The 24307-nt window shown below is 35.6% G+C and overlaps 1 protein-coding gene across 10 annotated transcripts in view; it reads right to left on the minus strand.

Moving 5' to 3' along the window:
- The window catches only part of NETO1 (neuropilin and tolloid like 1), a 125674-nt gene that overhangs the window by 23343 nt on the left and 78024 nt on the right, over positions 1–24307 (minus strand). For all 10 annotated transcript variants that reach the window (NR_148694.2, NR_148695.2, NM_001201465.3 and 7 more), the window contains one exon: positions 18022–18250. Coding sequence is in view for 8 of the 10 variants with exons in the window: in NM_001201465.3 (NP_001188394.2) it covers positions 18022–18250 (229 nt within the window). In the remaining 2 variants the exon portion in view is untranslated. The remainder of the gene's footprint in view (positions 1–18021; positions 18251–24307) is intronic.

Genomic DNA, 24307 nt, shown 5'->3' on the forward strand with positions numbered 1-24307 from the left:
TCCACCCACCTTGGCCTCCCAAAGTGCTGAGGTTACAGGCGTGAGCCACAGTGCCAGGCCAGAATAAAAATTATTTAAGCAACACAATGAATATTAAATGCCATCTTCTCATTAATGTCTGACAATGATCTTAAATTTTTAAATAACAGCAAAACTTTAAAAAATAAACTTGAAAGAAAATAAAACATTAGAGATATCAATTATGAGTAATCAACTGAAGATGCAAATTTTTAAAAACTTCAAAAATGTCATTAAAAATACATAGCTTGGCTGGGCACAGTGGCTAACATCTGTAATATCAGCACTTCGGGAGGCCGAGGTGGGTGGGTCATTTGAGGTCAGGAGTTCAAGACCAGCTCGGTCAACATGGTGAGAACTCATCTCTACTAAAAATACAAAAAGTAGACTGGTGTGGTGGTGCATGTCTGTAATCCCTCTACTCAGGAGGCTGAGCGGGGAGAATCGTTTGAACCCAGGAGGTGGAGGTTGCAGTGAGTCGAGATTGTGCCACTGCCCTTCAGCCTGGGTGACAGAGTGAGACTCAGTCTCAGAAAAAAAAAAATATGTGTGTGTGTGTGTGTGTGTGTGTGTGTGTGTGTGTAGCTTGCTACTATCATTTTTAATTGTGGTACTCTACACAAACAAAAATATAAAAAATATATAAAATATATTTGGCCATCAGAACTTCCCACAAAACAATTTTTTTCCAAAACAAATGGAAAAATTTCCCTTGTCAGCACATTGAAACTTAAAATGGCCCATAGGCTATGTAATTAGAGGAAATGACATTTTATTTGAAAAATGGTGACCAGACTTGAGGCCAGAAATAGATTTGTGTATCTTTTTTTCATGTCCTTTATCACCTTCATAGTTGTTTTGAAAAATCAATATGTTTTCAAAACTCTGTTCCAATATGACTTTTACTTTGAAAATATCCAGTATTATCAAGATGTACATATATTAATCTGTTTTTATACAAGAAATTCTGTTCACAAATTTCAATTTGATCTCACACATATTTATGAGATTCCTCCCCAATCTTTGTGCAAAAATTACATATTCTTACTGTTCTGAGAGATATTACATTAAGAAACACATCTTCATTGGAAACTTACATTCCATATATAAAAAATCTTTCCTTGTATGTGGGGTGAATTTATCCGTTATTATCATAATGTATCCATTATTTTATCTTCCCTAGAAATTACTACATACTTTTATACTTCCATTATGTCTGCCTTGATTCAGCCCCACAATGATCTCTTCAATGTGTGTAGTTAGACATTACAATTACAATAAGGAGGGTATTAAATATCTTTGGCATCTGCATGCTGATTACTATTAGGCCCTGGACATGTGGGCCAGTGTTGGTTTTCATAATATGTACATGTCAGTAGCAGGTGGCTAGTTTAGACACATTATTCTTTTATAAAGGTGCAATACTTGCTCTCATTGAACATGCCAAGTCCCACAAAGGGGGCCTGCAGTAAATGAAGATTAGAGCCAAGCGTAAACACATCACCATGACCTCAAGCTTAAAAATCTGCTAGTTCAGAGGCTATCAATTAAAAATAATAATTTTCTGTTTCCATATAACAAACATATGCTGTGTATTTTCAGGGGCAGACATAAACCACAATGGTTGTAAAGCTAGAATCAGACACATTAATATGTATTATTCCCAATGATTCTACTAAAAATTACAGGAAATTTCCTGCCTTTATTCTTGTCCAAGTGATTCCTTGCAGACCCACACACTTTATTTAAAAAAATTATTCTAAATGGTTCGATGGAAAGTTCTGCAATATTTTCTCAGTAACTCAATGAATAGGCAAAGAAGCAAAATTACTTAAGATACTTGTTTTGGTCAAATTACTTAAGAAAATTAACTTTAAATTTTAAGTATTTCATCAAACTACATGTCTGTACACATAATACTTCTTCAATGGTTTAAGTAACCATATCAGTAATAAAAGTCCATCGATAATTCATTTCAAATATTAGAATACTTTTGACAGTTGTTTTCTTTATGGTGCCATCAAACTCAATCAAAAGCTTTAAAAAAAACAGGAAGGAAGGGAGGTAAGAGGAAGGAAGGAAGGAAGGAAAGAAATGAGGGAGGAAAGGAGGGTTGGTTGGCTTCTGGTAGATTATACAATTTTATTTCATTTTCCTTTGCTCAATAGCCTCACTGTATTTGAAAGTGTTAACTACCCAAGTTTCAGTATGTTGTTATCTCACTAACGGATACAATACTAGCCACCTTCTGCTGACCATTTGCTACGTTCCAGACATACATTTAAAACTTTCAGTTGCCCTGTGATGTTTTCTCTGTTTTACAGAAAGGAAATTGAAGATTAAAGTCCAGGCATCACACGTAAGAAAGTGGAAGAACTGGCTGACACTGAACATGTGCTCTTACACATTGTAATTCCATTTCAGATCTTTTTCAAAAGCAAAACAATTTTCTGAAATGGCTACTTTGTGATTCTGGTTCTAAAAACGTTTATCTTTTATTTTAAAATTTCAAACACATCTATACTTGCCCAAAGTCATATTTAAATCTTTAGGACAGATTAACTTTTTTATTTTTTTCTACAGTAATAAAATATTTAAATTAAAAATAAATTCTTTATATAAAAGAACACTTATTCAATAGCAAGGTGTGAAGGCAGACTTGTGTTAAGATGTATCTTTATCAGTTGACATTGTATACCTTTGGCCTTAAAGTCAACTTAATAATTGCTTTCAGAATTTCAGTCAAAGACCCCATCAGCTTAATACAAACAAGCAAAAACAACACAGAAATACAAATTCTACTGTGGTCAAATAAATAATGGCTCTCCAAGTTGTCCACATCTTAGTCCCACATCCTGTGAATGTTACTTTATATGGAAAAAGGGATTTCGCAGGTGTGAATAAAGATTTCAAAATGAAGAATTATTCGGGATTATCCAGTTAAGCCCAATGCAATAACAAGTAAAGAGAGATGGAGACTGAAGGCACAGAGGTGATGTAACAGCAAATCACAAAGGCACACAAAGATGCTACTCTGGTGGCTCTGACAAAGTAGAAGGGCTATGAGCCAAGAAATACTGCTCTAGAAACGGGAAAAGGAAGGAAATGTACTCTACACTGGAGCCTCTTATGGGGCAGCAGCCTTGCTGACACCCTGGTCTCAGCCCAGTAAAACCTGTTTTAGGAATCCGCACTCCAGAAGTGTAAGATAATAAAGTTGTGTTATCTGATGCTTCTAAACATATGCTAATTTGCTACAGCAGCAATGGGAAACTAAATGCCAAGTAGCAGATTTCTCAGGCAATCTGACTTTGACTAACCAGCCTTCTGCCAAAGTGGCCGTCGCTGTACAGCGCGGCAAGCAGGGACAGGAGAGGGCAGTGATGAGAAAAGTTAAGATGAGACTGCTGATGGAGAGTGGCAGTTTCCAGCCAGGATACCCTGACAACTCGTGTCATAATTAGTCCTGGAATGAATCCAAGGCTACATTTTTTTTCTAATTATTATCTGTCTTTAAGTTACCAAAGTGAATTCAAGGGTGTACGCACTCATATCAAGGGGAGAGAAAGGCCAATACTGTATCTGGTGGGCTTACCGTCAGGATCTGTCATGCAGTAAGTCAGTCATCAGTTGAATGTCTCTCGGAAGATAAATGGTGGAGAAATTCTATTACAGAGCAGAGTTATTATTTAGTCTGAAAACAACATGTCAGTATATGGCAATGTGATATCCTCGAAAACTGTATTAAAACTCTACTGATGGGTTCTTTTCTGATATTATAGATGAGTCAATTAACCCAACATAGAAAATAATGTACATACTCTTGCTTTCCTAGACTTAATACATCTTTTCAGAAATTCCTATTTGTTGCTTTGTAAAAAAGTGTTTACCAAACCAGTACATATTTATTTTAGAAAAATTAGAAAATACAGGCAAAAATATCGTCACCCAAATATAACCATTAATATCTTCATCCCATTGTCTTTTACATATATGTATTACATATATAATAGATGACATGTATTAAATGTTTATCCCATGTAGTTACAAGAGTATAAATGTAATGTACACGTGTTCGCTACTTGCTTCTAACCTCTTGTTTCTTAACACAGTAAAATATCAGTATCAATCTACCACATCATCTTAATAAAGAGTATATGTACATTCCCAGAACCATTTAACCAATCTACTTAAGCATTTTTCCATGCTTATAAATATGGACTCATCAGCAGTATATATTCCTAGAGGTAGTATTTCTGATTCAGAGGTGATATTCTATCTTTGTTCCCTATTTTGGAATTTTTATATATACTGCTAAATTGTCCTTCAGGAAATATTTTGTTTCCTATAAGCAGTGCATATGCTTTTATTTCAAGATTCCATCTCCAACATTATTTCATATTTTTAACATTTTGATAGATGAAAATGACTCATTAAATTATAAATTTATGTATTTGTTTACTAATATGTTTACATGTTTGCTTCTTATGCTTACAGGGTATTTATGCTTCTCTTATGAATTAATTATGCACATTTTGGCCCCATTTTCTATTAGAATGCTTATCTTTTTCTTATTTTTGAATATAATCATTATTTTTTATAAGATACAAATATGTACCTGTTGCCTGCTGTTGTCTTACCAATTATTCTCCAGGTCAACTTTTCCATATTTATTTTGATTATGATGTTTCTGTATTAATAACTATTTGAAATGTATGTATATTTGAATATGGTGATTTTTTTCTTATCAATAGTGTGCTTTATGTATATTTTAGGAAGACCTGCCAATATTTAACACACATTCAGCAATTTTCTCAGCATATGTTGTGTATTGTTTATATTTAAATCTGCACCATCTGGTATTTATGCTACTATATGACATACATAAATAAATATTTCCTATATTAGTAAAGTGGTCTTAATCCTTTTAAGATACATCAATCATGGCAATTCACAAGGTGGCGGCATTAAGATTTATAGTAAGACTTCAATTTACACTTTGGCCTAAGTTACGGTTGGTAACACTGCTTTCTCCAGTACATAACATTTTCTTTTCGTGGTGAAATATATAGTGAATAGAATGTCTTTTGATCTTAGTATTTACACCAAACTTGTAAATTGTGTTTGGCCTTGCTTATTCTAGAGGAAAAACTAAACAGTGTTGTGAAATATTAAGAGAGAGGATTTACATTTTTAACTCCCTCTTCTCTTTGATTCTTTAAAATAACTCTAAATTGGAAAATGTGTTAATTTATTTTTCCATAACTAACAAAGTTATTTAAACTCATCCCATTTAAATCTGAAAGAAGTTAAAAAGGATTAAAGTAAGTTGATTATTTTGAAGATATTTTGGTGTTTAATCTCAGAGGGTTATTGAGTTATAATTTATAATTTTTTCCCTTAGGATCCATTAAATTTAGTTACTGAGATTATATGACAATTTTACTTAGTTATTACAAAATTAAGAATTTGCATTATCCAAGACAGAATGAAAATTATGTGAACAAAAGGCAGATGGCAGGCTATATCTTGTTCTAGACAGGAAAAGATAATAAAACTGAACAGTGAAATAAAATCAATCACTGTGTCAGTAGAGCAAATATCCAGCTAACGTAAACAAACGCTGCAGAGAAAAACTACACACAAAGAGAATTAGGCTTCTTAGAGTACAACCTTCCGTGGGTAATTTACTAAAATAAATGAGGGAGTATGTGGTGGGAGTGTGGCACAGAATACCAGATATAAATGAACATCTGAAGTGAGTCACACACTTGAGTTGAATCTGAGTTAGTGTGGAAGTGCGGTGCCTTCAGAGAAGCAACCATCATATTCATCTTCGAGCCATCCATGCCTGGAAAGTTTAATGAAGGAATAAAAGAATGAAAGGAGGAATATAAATATGTATCAAAATGAAAAGTTATTAATGATTAGGCTAGTGGAATCTCAACTTTTAGTGTCAATCTGATGCTGGAGTGATTGTTTCCTACAATTACAGTATATCTTGCCCCATCTCCTGAACTACCGAAAGTAGGACTAGTACTATATTAATAAATAGCAATATATTAAAAATGTTTTTAAGTAATATGTTAAAATTGATATTTGGATCATCCATTACATTGAAAAAACCCACATCATTGCAATAGGAATACTATGCATTATTTTCTACTGCTGAGTCACAAATTATCACAAATTTACCCACCAGCTTAAAACAATATCTTTTTATGATCTCACAGTTCTGTATGTCAGAAGTCCAGGCAGGGCTCAATTGGGTTCTTTCCTTTGGGTCTCTGAAGGCTAAAATCAAGAGTCTGTCTGGATTGGGTTCTCATGAAAAATGTGGAGGCCTCTTCTAAGTTTGTTCAAGTTGTTGGAATGTTTCAGTATGCTGGAATAGTAGAACTGAGGTCCCCACTTTCATGCTGACTGGCAACCTGAGGACATTCTCAGCTTCTAAAGATTGCTCAAAATTCCCCACCACGTAGTTCTCTGTATAATATGGCAGGCTGCTTCTTTATGGCCAGGTGGAGTGTTCACTACAGTTAAAAATCTCTGATTTCTTTCATCTCTAACCATTAGATCTTTATTTAGCTGGCTCAGACCCACTAGGATAGTTTCCTGTTTAACTCAAAGTGAACTGATTGGGGACTGTGATTATAAAGATCCCAAGAGTATAACCCCATGACCCCATGACATAAAGTTCAAATCTCATCTAAGTCTCATCGGTTCAAAGTCCAGAGTCTCCTTGTTTGAATCATCTAAATCTGGTGCAGACCCTGGGGGTACAGTTTCTCTCCGTGTATGGGTTCATGAAACTAGAGACAAGCTGTCTGGCTCCAACATTCCCAACACAGTGGTGGGAGAGGCATAGAATTCTAGTCCAAAAAAGGAAGAATGGAGAATAAACAGGAGTAATGAATTCATAACAGTTCTGAAGTCCATCAGGGTAAACTCAAATTCTTCTTGACTACTCTGTTGCCCTTGGTTCTGTTCTCTGAGACAGCCTTTCTTTCTCATGGAAGGTGGCATATATATATGATATACACGTGTGTGTATCATGTACACACACACATCTCTCTATATATATCTATATATATATATATATACAGATCTCTATATAGTTCTCTCTCTCTCTCTCTCTCTCTCTCTCTCTCTATATATATATATATATATATATATATATATATATATATATATATATCAGTTTCATCAGATTGATCATGCTGTGAGAATTCTGGCATTCCAGTATTTCTGGTACTCTGTCTCTTCCTGTCCAAGTTCACAGTATTTCTGCTGAGGAAATTAGCCTACACCTATAACATTTAGCTCAGTAATTTACTTAGCTACATAGCCTATATTTAGCCTATATTAGTAACTTACTAATTCTGTTTCCCACCTACCTGCAGAACACAATTGTGCTAGGCTTTCTGCTATTACAAAACAGGGATTCCCCCCTCTCCCAGTTCCTAATAACATATTCCTCCTCACTTGCATCTGAGTCATCACCTGTAGTTCTCCAAATCCAGATTTCTACTAACCACCTGTCCAAGGAAGCTTGGGCATTTTTCTCTCAAGTTCTTCAATTTTAGAGAGCTCACCTGATTAGGTCAGGTCAACCCAAGATAATCCCCCTTCTTTTGATTAAATCAAAGTCAATCAAGCTTTAAGAGCCTTTATATACATCTGCAAAATAAGTTTTCACAGAGAAAGAATGTAAGTTAATAACCAAATGATATCCCAGGCTATTCACAAGTTCTGACTGTCTCAAGAGGAGGGGATTACATAAGCGTTCTACACCAAGAGTTGTGATATTGTATGGCTCTGTGTCCCTACCCAAATCCCACTTTGAATTGTAATAATCCCCAGGTGTCAAGCGCAGGAACAGGTGGAGGTAAATGAATCATGGGGTCAGTTTCCCCCATCCTGTTCTCACGATAGTGAGTGAGTTCTCAGGAGATCTGATGGTTTTATAGGCGTCTCACAATTATTCTACTGGCATGCATTCTCTCTCCTGCTGCCCTGTGAAGAGGTGCCTTCCGCCATGATTGTGAGTTTTCTGAGGCCTCTCCAGCTATGTGTAGCTGTGAGTCAATTTAACCTCTTTTCTTGATAAATTACCCAGTCTTGAGTATTTCTTCCTAGCAGCGTGAGAACAAACTAATACAAGGTGAGAATGTCTTGGTTCATCTCAGAATCTGCCTTCCACAGAGTATTTCAACTCAGTTTTTGGAACTTAAATGTTACTGTATGTATATTTCTTTATTACAAATAAATCTAATTATTTATTTATAATAATATAGACAAAAGACTTGATAGTCTTTTGTCACGAGTTAACATAAAACTAAATGCATTATCTCATTTTAGCAAATTATTGTAAATAAATTCCATACGACCATAATGTGGACAATTTGTTTTTTCCTCTTCTATTTTATATGTCTGTTTTTAACAGAAATATGCTATTCATCAATCAAATATTAAGTGATTCATATTTTATGGTGCAAAAGTTGTAAAGAAGAGCAGAAGAGCAGCTAAATGCAGAACTTCAGAAATCAAAACTAGTTATAACTCATTCATCCATTCCAGTTACTGCAAATTCATATTCTAAACAAAGAATAAGATTGGCTCAGAAAACTTAGCAGGTGATTTATTTGAATGGGCATATTCCACGAAGGTCTCTGTTTATTCATATTGGGCAGTTATTCAAATACACAGTCCTATCATAATTGGTTATGAATTATCTATGTGTATTCAAAATTAAAATTATTCTAAATATAATCATTCCTTTAAAATTAGTAATTCTTTAGAGTCAATAAATTTTCAAAAAAGATGCCAAAGTATAAAGCTATAATAATATAAGAAATCTTAAATTGAGTCCATAAAGTAAAATACGGCACACTTCTAATAATCAATGTAAGAATTATCCAATGTATGGCATATCTCAAATTGGATGAATTCTTTATCGCAAATATGTTTCTTGGTATTTGTGGCTTCTTCATCTATGAAACTAAATTAATTACTGATTAATTAATTGTTTTTACTGTTAGCCTCAAAATACATTTAAATGTTAAACAAATACTCTTTCTTAAAGAATATATGCTAAAGATAATACTTAAATGTTTTGTCTTCTTTTTTGGATTACTCATGCATGTGCTCTTCTCCACCGGGTAAATTGTAGACTAAACATTTTGTGTGATTCAAATGCAAAGTGCCATTTAGCTTATTACTAAGCCTACCATCTAGTCAAGAAGAGAGTTCTCTTTAGGTGATAATATTGATTTTCTTTGTCTTGTCCCTGGGTTTCAAAATTGCTTTATAGGATGAAGTCTGTATATTATTTTTCTGAAGCAAAAAAATGAAGTTTAGCTGGGCAACCAACAGCCTTGTGATGCCATAAATCAGGGCAGCAATCTTTGACAACACTGAAAGAGGCAGAGGTGAAGAGTTAGCAAAGTCGGTCGAGGCAGCAGTATTATACCTATGGGAGCAAGCTGCAGAGGTGGTACTTCTCAAGCCTAGTAGCAAGTAAATACTTACCCTTTTCAGTGCCCTTATGCTCTCCCCTTTACTGGCATTAGATAAATTTTGTTAGAAATATTGGCATTTAACACAAGCTTTATAAAATGCTTCTAATGTGCACTTGCAAGTTAAACGTCTGCTGAATTTTTTAGTAAGAACTTCATACCTCCTTTATACACTCATTATTTCCTTTTCCTATAATTTATTCAGATACAAATGTAAAAATATGATGGCTAAAAATGCATTCATATAGTCCCCAAAATAGCATGTTTCAGAATAGAAACCTCTCGTTATAGTGTACTTTTGTCTTAATACTTGAGAGCCATGTGAACGTGGCATGCTATATGATTATGGTGTGAAAGCACAGTATGTAGGCATAAAATGCAGTGGATAGGACAGAAGAATCAAAATTCAGTCTGTAATCACTCAAAACAATGCTGACATATGAGAATAACTGTTATCTATTTTCATAATCATTATCATCATCATCCTCTTTAGAGCATTCGAGCTCTGTCTCAGAAGTGCCTCAAAAGTAGTAAAGATATTCACAAGAGAAATCATGGATTAGGAGTCAGGTCTTTAATTCTTGCCTCAGTTCTGTTAACAAATCATTAAGCATGGGGTTAAGTATGTGTGGGGAAAGTCAATTAACTTCAATGAACCCTTTTTTTTTCTGTTTGAATTCAGAAAATGTGAAAAATTGAAATAGACGCTCTCTAAACTCTCTTCTAACCCCTAAAAATATCCTATGGTCCTATCACAAGCAATTTTTAGAGATATTAGGATATTATCAAATATGCTCTGTCTTGTTTCAATTTCTGTTGCTATAAAGGCATACTGGGGTAGTTTATTTCCCAAAAAAACAAAAAATAAAAAAAGACGTATGTAGCTCAGAGTTCTACAGGCTGAGAAGTTCAAGGGCATGGCCCTGGCTTTGGGCGAGGGATCTCATGCTTTGTTGCAACACAGTGGAGAGTTTCCAAGGGGAAGTGGCTATGTGCAAACAGGAGCTGAAAAACCTGAGGGACGTCCTGGCTCTATCATAACCCATATCGTAGAAACTAATCCATTCCTGAGCAGATAAATTCAGTCTTTTGAGAGTGAGAACTCACTCATTACCAGAACAACATCAAGCCGTTAGGTATTTGTCCCCATCACCTAAATACATCCCACAAGGTTACCCCTCTCAATACTACCACACTGGGGATCAAATTTCAACAGGAGTATTGGTGGAGACAAAGAAACCAAACCATGGCATGCTCTTAGTCCATTTGCGCTGCTCTAAAAATGCCATAAAGGGAGCAGCTTATGACCAACAGAAATTTACTTCTCACTGTTTTGGAGACTGGGAAGTTCATGATTAAGGCACCATCAGATGTGGAGTCTGGTGAGGGTTTGCTTCCTCATGGAAAACTATCTTGAACTCTCACATGGCAGAAGAGGTGAAGGGTTTCTCTTGGGCCTCTTTCATAAGGGCACTCATCTCACTTATGAGGGCTCTGCTCCATAATGTAATCATTTCCCAAAGGTCTAAACTCCTAACATCATCACCTTCGGTAGGTGCAGATCTCACCATATATATTTTGAGGTGACATAACCCTTCAGACTAACCCTAACGCTAACTTCTTCCCCCAAATCCTTGACCTTCTCACACACAAAATATATTCATTTTATCCCAATAGCCCTAAAAGTCTTAACTTGTTTCAGTGTCAATTTAAAACTCTAAGTCCAAAATCTCATCTAAAGCAGGTATGAGTGAGGCTCCTTATACATTCTGAGGCAAATCGTTCTTACGCTGTAAATCTGTGAATGAAAATGTTATGAACCTTACAAAATAAACGATGGGACAGGCATAGGACAGTCATGCCCAGTCCAACAGGGAGACATAAGAAAGAAGCAGCAGGTCCCCAGCAAGCCCAAAACCTTGAGGCTCAAGAATCATTTTCTTGGCCAGGCACAGTGGCTCATGCCTGTAATCCCAGCACACTGGGAGGCCGAGGCATGTGGATCACCTGAGGTCCAGAGTAAGCAACCAGCCTGACCAACATGGTGAAACCCAGTCTCTACTAAATACAAAAAAATTAGCCTGGTGTAGTGGTGTATGCCTGAAATCTCAGCTACTTGGGAGGCTGAGGCAGGAGAATAGCTTGAACCCGGGAGGGGGGAGGTTGCAGGGAGCTGAGATCGCACCACTGCACTCCAGCCTGGGCAAGAAGAGCGAAACTCCATCTGAAAAAAAAAAACAAAACAACAACAAAAAAAAAACAAAAAAGGCCGGGCGCGGTGGCTCATGCCTGTAATCCCAGCACTTTGGGATGCCGAGGGGTTGGATCACGAGGTCAGGAGACCAAGACCGTCCTGGCTAACACGTTGAAACCCCGTCTCCACTAAAAAATACAAAAAAAATTAGCAGGGCGTGGTGGCGGGTGCCTGTAGTCCCAGCTACTTCAGAGGCTGAGGCAGGAGAATGGCGTGAACCCGGGAGGCGGAGCTCGCAGTGAGCTGAGATTGCGCCACTGCACTCCAGCCTGGGGGACAGAACGAGACTCCATCTCAAATAAACAAACAAACAAATAAATAAGAATTTTATCTTCGTGTTCTATCCTTTAAACACACTGGGGTAGAGGTCTACCCAACTGCTTTTCTGGGAACAGCCACAGCCTTCGTAGGTTGAAGTCACATATCCCTGTCTCTAAAGGTCTTGACCTGGGGTGGCCCCACCCCATGATTCGGTTTGCCATTGTTAGTGGGGGCTCTCTGCAGTGCGCCCCCTTGCAAATACTCTCTGTCCGGGTTCCAAGCATCCTTTGAAACATAGGTGAAGGCAGCCATGCCCCCACAGCTTTGCTGATCAAAATGTGCACCCTCCACTTGGTGCAGTGAGGAAGACTACTGCCAGAAAGTGCCGGGTTAACAGTTTGAGATACGAGGTAGTGGTGGACAGTGGTTTTTCTCCTTCAACTCATTCTGTCCCCCTAAACACTGGCCCTCTGGAGCTGAGATGAGAGGCAGGCGCAGTGATCTCTGACATACCTTCAGTGTCATCCTTCCACTGACTTCAGCAATAGGTCCTGATTTCCACCGAGTTGGCCAATCCACACTTATTTTATCAGATGCCTGCCTGGCTACACCTTTGGTGTTTTCTTGTAAGCATGTTTTCTCATTCTTTACAATATGAATAGGCTGAGAATTTTCCAAATCTTTAATTTTTGCTTCCATTTTTATTAATAATTGCATCTCTAAATCTTTTCTTTCTTCTTGAATTTTATGACAGGCAGTCAGGAGTCAAACGTTCTTTCAACACTTTGCCCGGACATTTTCTCAGCAAAATATCCAATTTCATCCCTCACAAGCAATACCTTCCACAAAACACGAGAGCATAAACACAATTCTGCCATATTCTTTGCCAATTTATAACAAGGATGAACTTTCCTCCATTGTCTAAAAACATATTCCTCATTCCCATTTGAAAGCTCATCAAAACGACCTTACTATTTATATTTCTATAAGCATTCTGTTCAGAATAACTTAGGAATTATCTAACAAGATTCTCCTCCTCCCCTTCTGAGCCCAGACCAGGATCAGCCTTAATGGTCTTGTTCATGGCAACGTAAATGTTTTCTAGCACCTCAGAACTCCTCCAGCCTCTACTCATTACCCAGTTCCAAAGCCACTGCCACCTATTTTGAGGTATTTGTTAGAGCAACATCCCCACAGATCAGCATAAATTTTCTATGTATGTCCACTTGGGCTGCTAGAACAAAATACCATAGACTAGATGGCTTGTAAACAACATTAAAAATTCCAACCTCTTAGTTTTGAAGGGACATAACATTCAGGCACCAGCGCGCTCGAAGCACTTCACCACTGAACTGGGGATACTATTTCATAAATGTGTAGGCACCAGGAAAAATATCCAGGTACTTTCTTATTACTTGAATAAGACGAAAGCTGATCACTGATTTTATATCTCCAACTTTTACTTCATGGGTGTATGAATGGAGTAAATGTTAGATAATACATATAACTATATATACATCTATAAGGCACATATTGGATGTGTATAATTATATATTAGACATATAGTTACATATTAAATGTATAATTATATATTAGATTATATATACACTAATATACATTAATGTAATTGTATATATTAGCCATATATAAAAAATATATGAATAGTCTGTTTAACTATCACCCTCTACAAGAACCAAAATCATCAGCCACAACAAAAATGTAAGCCAAAATTCTCCCTCAGCCACTAATATTGAATAAAGCAATACCACTGAGGAACTTGAAACTCCCTAAACAAAGTATCTTTGCTTCCTCTTAAGTACCCTTAGAATGATTCCTACCCACCCATTTCCAAGTAGTAGCACTGATCGAAGCCCACTTTCTATTGTTTTGAAGTTTTCATCTCTTACGTGGAATACTTTCACTTCAATGAATAAAGACAGTCTAGACCCATGTACGTCATCATAGGATGACTTTGATCTTAGGTATAAATAATGGTAGAATTCTGCATAATTTTAGCCAATGCAATAAAAAGTAAAACATTATGACAAATATACACAGGCATCGTCTGAGTCTGTTTGGGTTACTACAGCAAACTACAATAAATTAGGTGGCTTATAAAAAACAGGGTTTTGTTTCCCACGGTTCTGGATGTTAGGAAGTCCGAGATCAAGGTGCTGGCAGATTTGGTGTCTGTTTAGGGCCCATCTCCTGGTTCACGGATGAAACGTTCTAGCTGTGTTCTCACCTGGTGGAAAGGGCAAGGCTGCTCTCTGGGCCCTCTTTATCATTAGAGGACCAACACCTATGATGAGAGCTGTACTTATGAGCTAATCACCTCTCAAATGCCTCACCTCCTTATCCCCTCACCTTGGCAACTGGATTTTGAACACAGGAATTTTTGAAGGGGCGCCACAGAACCATTCAGACCAACATGGGTGGTAACATGACTAAAGGATAAACCTGTTTCCGTGGAAACTTCCTGTAAATTTATGAGATGATCACAGAGAACGCTGTTGTAAAACTCATCATTTGAAGAGAGTGATTATTTGTCCACTGTGAAAGAACATATTGGGATGGGTGCCTCTGTAGGAAGAACACCCTGTGTCTTTTGGATTACTCATTGAAAAGTCAACCCACTTCAATGACTTCTAGAGATAATTTAATCACATGCCTTGAAACTCTATTTTTTTGTAGTCTCAAATAGACATATTTATAATAATATATGCAACATATATACAGTTCACCATTTCTTATCTATGCAGATTTTTAAAGACTCATAGAGCTTAATCTATTTTCCGATTGAAAGGGATCTTTGATGTTAGCCGGTCTTTTCACCTAACCTACACAGATGATTCCTCTATACCGTTCATGCCAGATAATAATCCATTTTCAGATCCAATCACCCATCTATCCATATTTTATATCCTTCATAGGCATTCTTTCAAATTTTGAATATCACAACTCACAAGATGAACATTTTTCCCCCTAAATTGCGCTCAAAAGTTTCCCTATAACTTTCAAACATAAATATTACCTTTGAGACCCATGAGACATAGGTGTGAGGTAGTTATCACATTTTGAACAACAATAAATCCTAAAGTAAACATTTCTTCTTATTTGGCATTACATCTTTGTCAGCCTCTTCTAGGTGGTTACTCTCCTCACTAATAAGAGTCAGGAAAGAACAGACTGTGCCTTTTGCATTTTGATTGGTGCAGCTTCCTATAAAACTAAAATCTTTTTTTGCATTGTTACTCCACTAACTTTAATACAGGCTAATGTTGTTTAAGATTATTTTTATCAGTCATAATCAAAGTATTGACTCACATTGAGTTTGAATGAAATAAGACCACAGGACCGTCCTAGGCATCAGGGTTCCTCTATGTTATTGATTTTTGAAATATAATGCTTTTATCATATGTCTCTATTATATTTTATGGTATACTTTTGATTAAAAATTACAGATTTTTGTTATTTATTAAAATCTGGACTGTATCATTTAATATATTAGCTTGCCCTTCCAAATTTTTATCATTTAAATTAAATACGAGTTCTTGGTATGTTATTCCCGAAGACAGATAAGAATACTGAATAAATATAGAACCCTGAAATTCCCTCACTGAAGGAATGATTCATTGAATTGGGTAGATCAATCAGCAGTGAGCCACCAAGGGTGTTGTCTTGTAGCCTGAGTCTCATATGCTTGTCAATAAAATGAAAAAATTTTCCTCAAGTATTTTGCTGAGATAAAAATGCACTACCTCTAACATTTTAATCAACTACTGAACCAAATACATAACAGCATACTGTTTTAATCTGACATAAAGCTGGGAGAGATGTTTGACATGCTAGATGATGGTGTCAAGACTTAGAAAGACTGAGTGACATTCAGTATTTCTGTGTCATAAAATTCCCCAACTGGGTAATTAAAAGGGAATTTAAAGCCCAAACGATTTATTCGTTATGCAAAATAACTGTCTAACACACTTAACATTTACGAATTTAAAACAGTATTGGCTCCTCTGCTGCTGACAATAAGAGAAATCACTGAAATTTCAAAAATATTGTATTGTCTTTTCTAAGAATACAAAAATGCATAGTTGTGAAATACAAGGTGCTTATTTCTTTTCATTTAAAGTTGTTTTTAACTTTTGTTTCAGATTCGGGGTACATGTGCAGGTTTACTATGTAGGTAAAATGTGTGTCACGGGAGTTTGGTGTACAAATTATTTCATCACCCATATAATAAGCATAGTACCCAACAGGGGTACTATGGTCCTCACCCTTTTCCCAACCTCCACCCTCAAGTAGGTTCTGGAGTCTGTTGTTCCCTTCTTTCTGTCCATATGGACTCAGTGTTTAGCTCTCACTTATTGGTGAGAACGTGCGGTATTTGATTTTCTGTTACTATATTAGACTTCTAAGGATAATGGCCTCCAGCTCCATCCATGTTGCTGCAAAGTACATGGTATCATTCTTTTTTATGGCTACATAGTATTCCACAATATATATGTACCACATTTTCTTTATGCAGTCTAACATGGAAAGGCATCTCATTTGATTCCATGCCTTTACTATGGGAACAGTTTGGGGACAGTGCTGTGATGAACACACACATGCATGTGTCTTTATGACAGAACGATTTATACTCAGTATTGGGATTGTTGGGTCAAATGGTAGATCTGTTTTGCCAAACTGCTTTCCACAGTGGCTGAACTAGTTTACATTCCCACCAGCAGTGCGTAAGTGTTCCCTTTTTTCCCACAACGTCACCAGCATCTGTTATTGTTTGACTTTTAATAACAGCTATTCTGAGGCCAGGCACAGTGGCTCATGCCTCTAATCCCAGCACTTTGGGAGGCCGAGGCAGGCCGATCACCTGAGGTCAGGAGTTTGAGACCAGCCTGACCAACATGGAGAAACCCCATCTCTACTAATAATACAAAATTAGCTGTGCATGGTGGTGCATGCCTGTAATCCCAGCTACTCAGGAGGCCGAGGCAGGAGAATCACTTGAACCCGGGAGGCAAAGGTTGCTGTGAGCTGAGATCGCACCGTCGCACTCCAGCCTGGGCAACAAGAGCAAAACTCCATCTCAAAAAAAAATAATAATAAATACATAAATAAAATAACAGCTATTCTGACTGGTATGAGATGGTATCTCACTGTGGTTTTGACTTGGATTTCTCTAATAATTAATGATGCTGAACATTTGTATATGCTTGTTGGCCACATGAAGTGTCTGTTCTTCTTTTCAGTGTCTGTTCATGTCACAAGGTACTTATTTCTTAAATTTCTCAGAATCCTTTTTCACTTGCATAAATTTGTAACACATGAAATATTCAGGGTTTCTAACAAATATTCAGAATATATCTATTGGTATGAATCATTATTTATTAGAACATAACTTTCTGAAGTTTCTGTGATTTGCCCTTGACTCTGGATATCACCCATTGTGCTGTTTTAAACATTTTCTGAAACTTTTCTCATTTACAATCTACCCAAGCAATTCTCTCTCCTTACCTACTTTAATTGGAACTCTGAAGTCAGAAACCTATTTGAAATAAATGGGACTGCAAAAGAAGCTTACTAAAAAGAACCTACCAAATATTTTTATGCAGGTTTTTAAAGATTTAAACCCAAACTTCATCAGAAGCTGCTGCATCAGTTCCACAGGCTTCCTAAGAGCTAAATTGAAGACAGATGAAATTCATCATTTCCCAGTTGAATAGTGTGAACTGTCTTAAGAAAGGCTATGGTGCATATGTTGAAATAAGAAAGCAAAATGTAATATGTAACTCTTTCCTGTCATGGATCAAAATGAGAAAAAGAGGACCTTAGTGGTTTAAACAACATATTAGAGAATAGCCTGCTGTGCTCACTGTGTGAAGAAAACACCATTAACAGCTTATGAAACTGGCATCATATGGCATATACGAAGGAAAAATAGTCAAGTGCAGAGAATCTTACGTTCTTGAAAGGATGTGAAGAGCATCTGAAATCGGCTGTTTCGACTGCCCTCATCTGCCCACATGCGGATCACCCCAAGACCCGTGCGTAGCATGACATCATTAGCCACAGTGCTACAGAACTTAGCTTTCAAATCCTCCACGGAACTGCTTCCATCATACACAGCCACAAAATTCCTCTTGCACTCATTTGAATTCTGCATCTCATAGTCCAAGAATCGTAAGTAAATCTATAAAACAAAAATAAAATAATTTCCACATATCAAAATATGAATGTACATCAGTATCAGAACTCCTTTTCTCTTTTTCAGTCTCACAAGACAATCTTGATTGCAATCAATCTTATTATTTTCCCTTGTGAATAGAAAGAAGATGTACGATAAGAACAAACTGTGTTTAATATTTTTTTTCAAATGCTATTATCCTTTCTTTACTTAAATGCACCATTTTCTAGAGCTGAGTATTTTTACCCAAATTCGCTTTATGTCTTCTCATAACTTACTGGAAATCAGTTACTAGTTTTGCATACTTACACACTGTTTTACTTTGATTAGCAAATGTATTTTAAGTATTCCTGATACATTCTTGTTTCAGTTCGATGGCTTCCTTTTACTTCCAAAAATGTACAAAAATATGTGATTTTTATTAATACCAAAGAAAAACAAAAATGATACTGAAAGACAGTCTCTCTGATTTGTTTAATCAAATTATTTAACATAAATACACTGCTTCATTTTTGAGTCGAAGTATAATTTTTTATAAAAAGGCCAAGCTAGTCTCTGTCCATTCATGCCATATATAGACAAGCCATTTAGCTAAGCTACATAAATAAAAATTATGAGTAAAATGTACTGTGCAACTTGCTTTATATGTTATTTTGTAACACTTCCAACAACTCTATAAAGTGGCCCATTTTATTGTCATATTCAGATGAAGAAGCTCAGACTCAGATGGTATAAATTGAAAATTAGACATGAGCATCCTCACTTCCTAGTCCATAATTCTTTCACAACATTATGCTGCCTTAGGTGTACTGCTTTTCCATCAACAGACATTATTTGACTCTTTACTAATGTGCATTCAAAATCACAAGAATTCATTCAACCAAATACAAGTCTATAAAGAAATAATTTGTTCATGCGTCCATCGATTCAGTGGCATCCACAGCTTGTCCTGTGATTGTTGCAGACACTGTTCAAGGCGTTGTGGATATCACAGTGAACAAAAGAATGAGGGCCAGTGCCGAAAATGTATGTCAATTAAACCATGACAATAAGATACAATGTCAAAGAGTGGAAATTATATAAAGCCAAAAGACCCATGCACTTTGAGAGGGATACCTAGAATGGTTTCCTAATAAAGACACATCTTTCATACAGATATCTCCTGAATATTTTACATTTTATTTTAATATGAATGCCTATACGCTATTTCCTCTTAAATGCATTTCTCTTAATTTAACATGGATATAAACTAAAGACATGGCATTCAAGCAAACATCCATCTCTTTCATCATTCTGTATGTATTTTTTTCTTATTTCGTAAAATCTGAAACTGATACGACAATTTCTTCCAGATCCAGTACGTCTATCCTAAATATTATAATCTCACTATTTAAATTAGTGAAAATGTATCTCTTGTCCTCCATGTTCGTACTCAACAGGGCACGAGTTCCTGTCAATTTCACCTTCAAACTAGTTGTTTTCCATGTCCATTCACATTTCTATAATATTTCAACACTCTCCTGACCAGCCTGGATAGTTGCAAAGTACAGATTCTCCTTACAGCCCCAAAGTTTACTCTAATAAAAACTAGTTTACTCCAGCCAAAGTTATATTTCTAAGAAACAAATCTAATAATCACAGTCTTTTTTTCATTATACTTTAAGTTTTAGGGTACATGTGCACAATGTGCAGGTTTGTTACATATGTATACATGTGCCATGTTGGTGTGCTGCACCCATTAACTCGTCATTTAACGTTAGGCATAGCTGAAATTTGTAACTGGTGTATAATTTTTAAAAAGTCTAAAAACATCAACTAGCAAATTTACATCCTTCTTATCTCCCAACATTATAACCATTTTCAAAAAATCCACCCTTTATGAACATGACATTAGCTTCACATTCTCCATCTTCTGTCTAGGAACCTCTTCCTGATTTGTCAAGACAGTTCAACGGTTGCACATCCAATGAAAGGTTTTCACTGCTCCCACTCCCCAATCGCAGCAGACTTAATCTCTACAGCCTCCATGTGATTTTGAACATATTTAAAGCCATAGTTATAGGTTATATGTCCCTTCTAATAAATTTGTGTTCTCGAAAAGCTGAATCAGTGGTATATATTTTTGTATTCTAAGCATTAATATATATTTTACACATAGTAAACACTCCAGAAATGTTTGTGAATGATTAACTGGAAGTTTCATTTTCTTTATTGAATTCCTTTGTTCAGCATTCATATTTATCATGCACCTATATGACAGACATTTAAGCGTTATAAATAATGATAATTACATAGAATAGTCTTATTTTATTATATACAGTGGAAATTATATGCAATAATTCTCAGAACAAGGTATAGCATAGATCTAAATTATGACATAAAAGGACAAGACGAAATGTTGCAGACTTGTAAGATGCTGAAAATAGAATGTGAAGTTCTAAATGAGGAAATCCAGACACAATTTGATGAGAAAGAACAAAATCAGAGAAATGTGGACAAATGAATCAAACTGAACAACAGTGGAAAGCACTTGAGTTGTAGTATGCTTTGCAAGGTAGGACGATTTTCATACATGAGCAATTTGTAGCACTGAAGTTGGAAGTCATTCTAAAATTTCCAAATACTTTGATGCTGATTTAAATTACCTGCCATTGCTACAGCCTTATGAGAGACATATGCCCCAACGAGGCCTTCATTTTCGGTATGCCCAGGTTATTCCTTTGTTTTATTTTATCTAAAACTCAGATATTACTCATGCAGTCCATCTGTGATTTCTCCTCCCAACACAATATTTCATTTCTAAAATTATTCAGAGAATTTCAGAAATATCCAGTTTAAGAAGGTATATATGCATCTAAAAATGTTAAACTTCCAAGTTTATACTAACTCGTTTGTTTTTTCAATGTTAACATGACTTAAAAAAAAAAGATTTTTTTTTCAGATGACCTTTATTAGAAAGCTGGAGGTTGCGCCACTGCACTCCAGCCTGGGCGACAGAGCGAGACCCCATCTCCAAAACAAACAAACAAAAAAGGCTGGAGCAAAGAAGAAAAAAAATAATAACTTGCTCCAGGATCATAAGTGAATTAATGTGGAAACCTTAAAAAGGATTAAAATTTCCCACTCTGGATTTAAATTTCTTTTCATCAGGTCACAACAGTGTTTTCAGTTTGTTTACTTTTGTTTACTTTTTTGACTAAAAGTAAACAAACTGAAAACACTGTAAAAATCAAAGCTAAAATCTAGGTATTATACAAACATGTTAAGTGGAACAAAAATTCAAATATGTACTTATACTCTAAAAATTCTATGCAATAAATTCAACAAGTTAATCAGCTCTCAAAAAAGATGCAATTATAATTGGAAGTAAACATTGTCACAAGCAGGAGAACACAGATTAGGGTAAGTAAAGAGTGCGTTCCACTCCTTTGAAGTGTAATACAAAATGACACGTCTCTCCCAATAGTCTTACAAAGTTATAAAAACCAAGTACTAAGCCCACGGGATGAAAAATATTTAAATAATTGTTTGGCTAATACAAAAAAAAGCTATTAGACCACCTGATGTTTTCAAGTTGAAATGTTTCAGTGGCTCAAGGTGTTTCAACAAATATTTAAAATTTCTAACATTGCATGTAGAAACACACCTTAAAATACTAATTTATTGTTAGGAAAAGAAAGTTTGCGTGTTATATTGACGATAGCTTAAGACACTGCTAATGCATTATTTCATATCTCTCAACAACAATAGATACTTGTTATAATCATTTAAGATGAAGAGAACTGAAGTTTATAAAAATTAAGTAACTTTCTCAGAGTGACACAGTAATGTCACTGAAGTAACGGACTGGTACCGAAGTCAGATGTGCCTAACACCCGGATACTCATCACACTATGCAGCCTTATGTAATGCTTTTAAATGCTCACAGAGTTATAGCCCAGAAAGAAAGTTATATTCTTAAAGAAAACAATCAAAAACAAAATGAGTAATCAAATAAATAAGCAAAGCAAAACTATCCACTTCTTCTAATGAGCTAGAAAAGATGTTGACTATCAAGTTATAAATAAAATTTATAGAAAATAAACGTGTCCCTCAAAAATAAATGGCTGTTTTAAATTCTTTAAAAATAGAAATATTTCACATAAGAATATTGCTATAGTTAGAAAGTCAATTTGCATATTGGCCCTATATTTTTTTCATTTGACAGTTCTATATTTTCCACAAGAGGTGACTGTCTTGCATTTGTACATGAAGTGCAATCACTGCTACCTAAGTATCTTCTATAAAGGACCTTCTTATTAAATAGAACACTAATTAGAGAGTAAGTGAATCACTGCCGTCACTAGATCCCAGGTAATCACGTCTGAAGCATTCAGTAGTGTTTACCTATGATCTAGTGATGGCAATGATTTTTTATCATATAGAAAAAGAGAATATACTTTACTGGGTCCAGAGCTGTCAGTACAAAAGCCAAATTCCATTATCCAGAAAACGTGATCACGCTTTCCCATACTAACTCTAGTATATGTCATGTAAAATCTCTCTATATATTATGATTTGAGTGACTATCTCATTAGCTTAAATCTTGTACCACAATAATACTAATAGAAAGAATTATTTAATGTAGCAAACTACAGAAAGCTCTTTAGTCACTTACTGAAAAAAAAAGAGAAAATGATAAACAGAGTAATACATAACACTAGTAAAATAGATTATCATCTCTTCTCAGTGAATCATTTTGATGCATTCTTTTTAATCAATCATAAAGAGTTGGAGCTGACAAGATAATTTATTGAGCAGGACATGGAAAACTTCAAAACATATAAATAATTTCTAGTAATATCTATTTTTCAAATCACATGGAAAGCAGAACCCCTTTTTATATGCAAAGCAAATAAATCTAGCTAACAATTTACTAAGTAATATATTCACAAACAAAATTTAATACCACCTGCTCAACCAGGTCCCTCTCCCCTCATATCAAAATGATATACAGAAAATAGACATTATTTGAGGCAATTATTTACCACTTGCCAGAACAGTTTTCTCCTTAATAAGTAAAAATTAAATCTGTCACAGTCTGAGAAATGCTGTACATGGTTTCAATACTACTAGACACCTTTATAAATAAAATCAAATTCTACAAAATATGTAGCCCAGGATTTCTGAATTTTCTATTTTATTATTGACCAGACATGTCAGGTTTATAAACTTATGTAGAATATTCCGTTTGGACGGTATCAATGTTCCCTTTATTTTTGGAGAAGGAACCAGAACATCTTAATGCTTTATAAAATATTAACACACAAGCACACACACACACACACACACACACACACACACACACACATGTGCACAGCACAATTCCTGATATAACAATAAAAAATAATTTTCTGGCATATATAAACAAGTACCAAAATATTTAAAGTCCACCTGAGTAGCTGTTGAAAATATGAGAGTATAAAAATGCCATTTTAAAACTTGAACTGTACAATTTTTTTGGTATTTACCTACCTATTTAAAATTTTTACTTCGTTTATCAAATTTTATTCTTACTTTTTGGAGATAAAAGCAGGCTCAATCTTCAGAACCCTTGATGCTTATCTCTGTAATCAATTACAGTTACTACACTTGGTTTATTGCATTAATATTCTATTGCTCGGTAACAAATCACCACAATTTTAGCAGCTTTAAATAACACCCATGTACTATCTACTATTAATAGTTCTGTAGGTAGGAAGTACTGGGTTCTTTGGTGAGGGCAGATGAGGGTGAAAATCCAGTTTCTCACAGTTCTGGGACCAAGGTCTGTATTTTCTTGAGGACTGCTTACTGGGGTCACCCTCACTCCTAGAACACATTTCTTAATCCCCTGATTCTCTTACTTCCCCTTTCATTCATGTCTAAAGAATCTGCTCCACTTTTAAAGGGCTCGTGTGCTTAGATTACGCTCACCTGGATAGTCTACCTTTTGATTAATCCAAAGTCACCTGACTGGTAACCTTAATCACATAGGCACATTTATCATATTCACAATCCCAGCAATTGGGGCTGGAAATCTGT

This window comes from Homo sapiens, chromosome 18 (assembly GCF_000001405.40).
Source record: "Homo sapiens chromosome 18, GRCh38.p14 Primary Assembly".
Classification (NCBI taxonomy): Eukaryota; Metazoa; Chordata; class Mammalia; order Primates; family Hominidae; genus Homo; species Homo sapiens.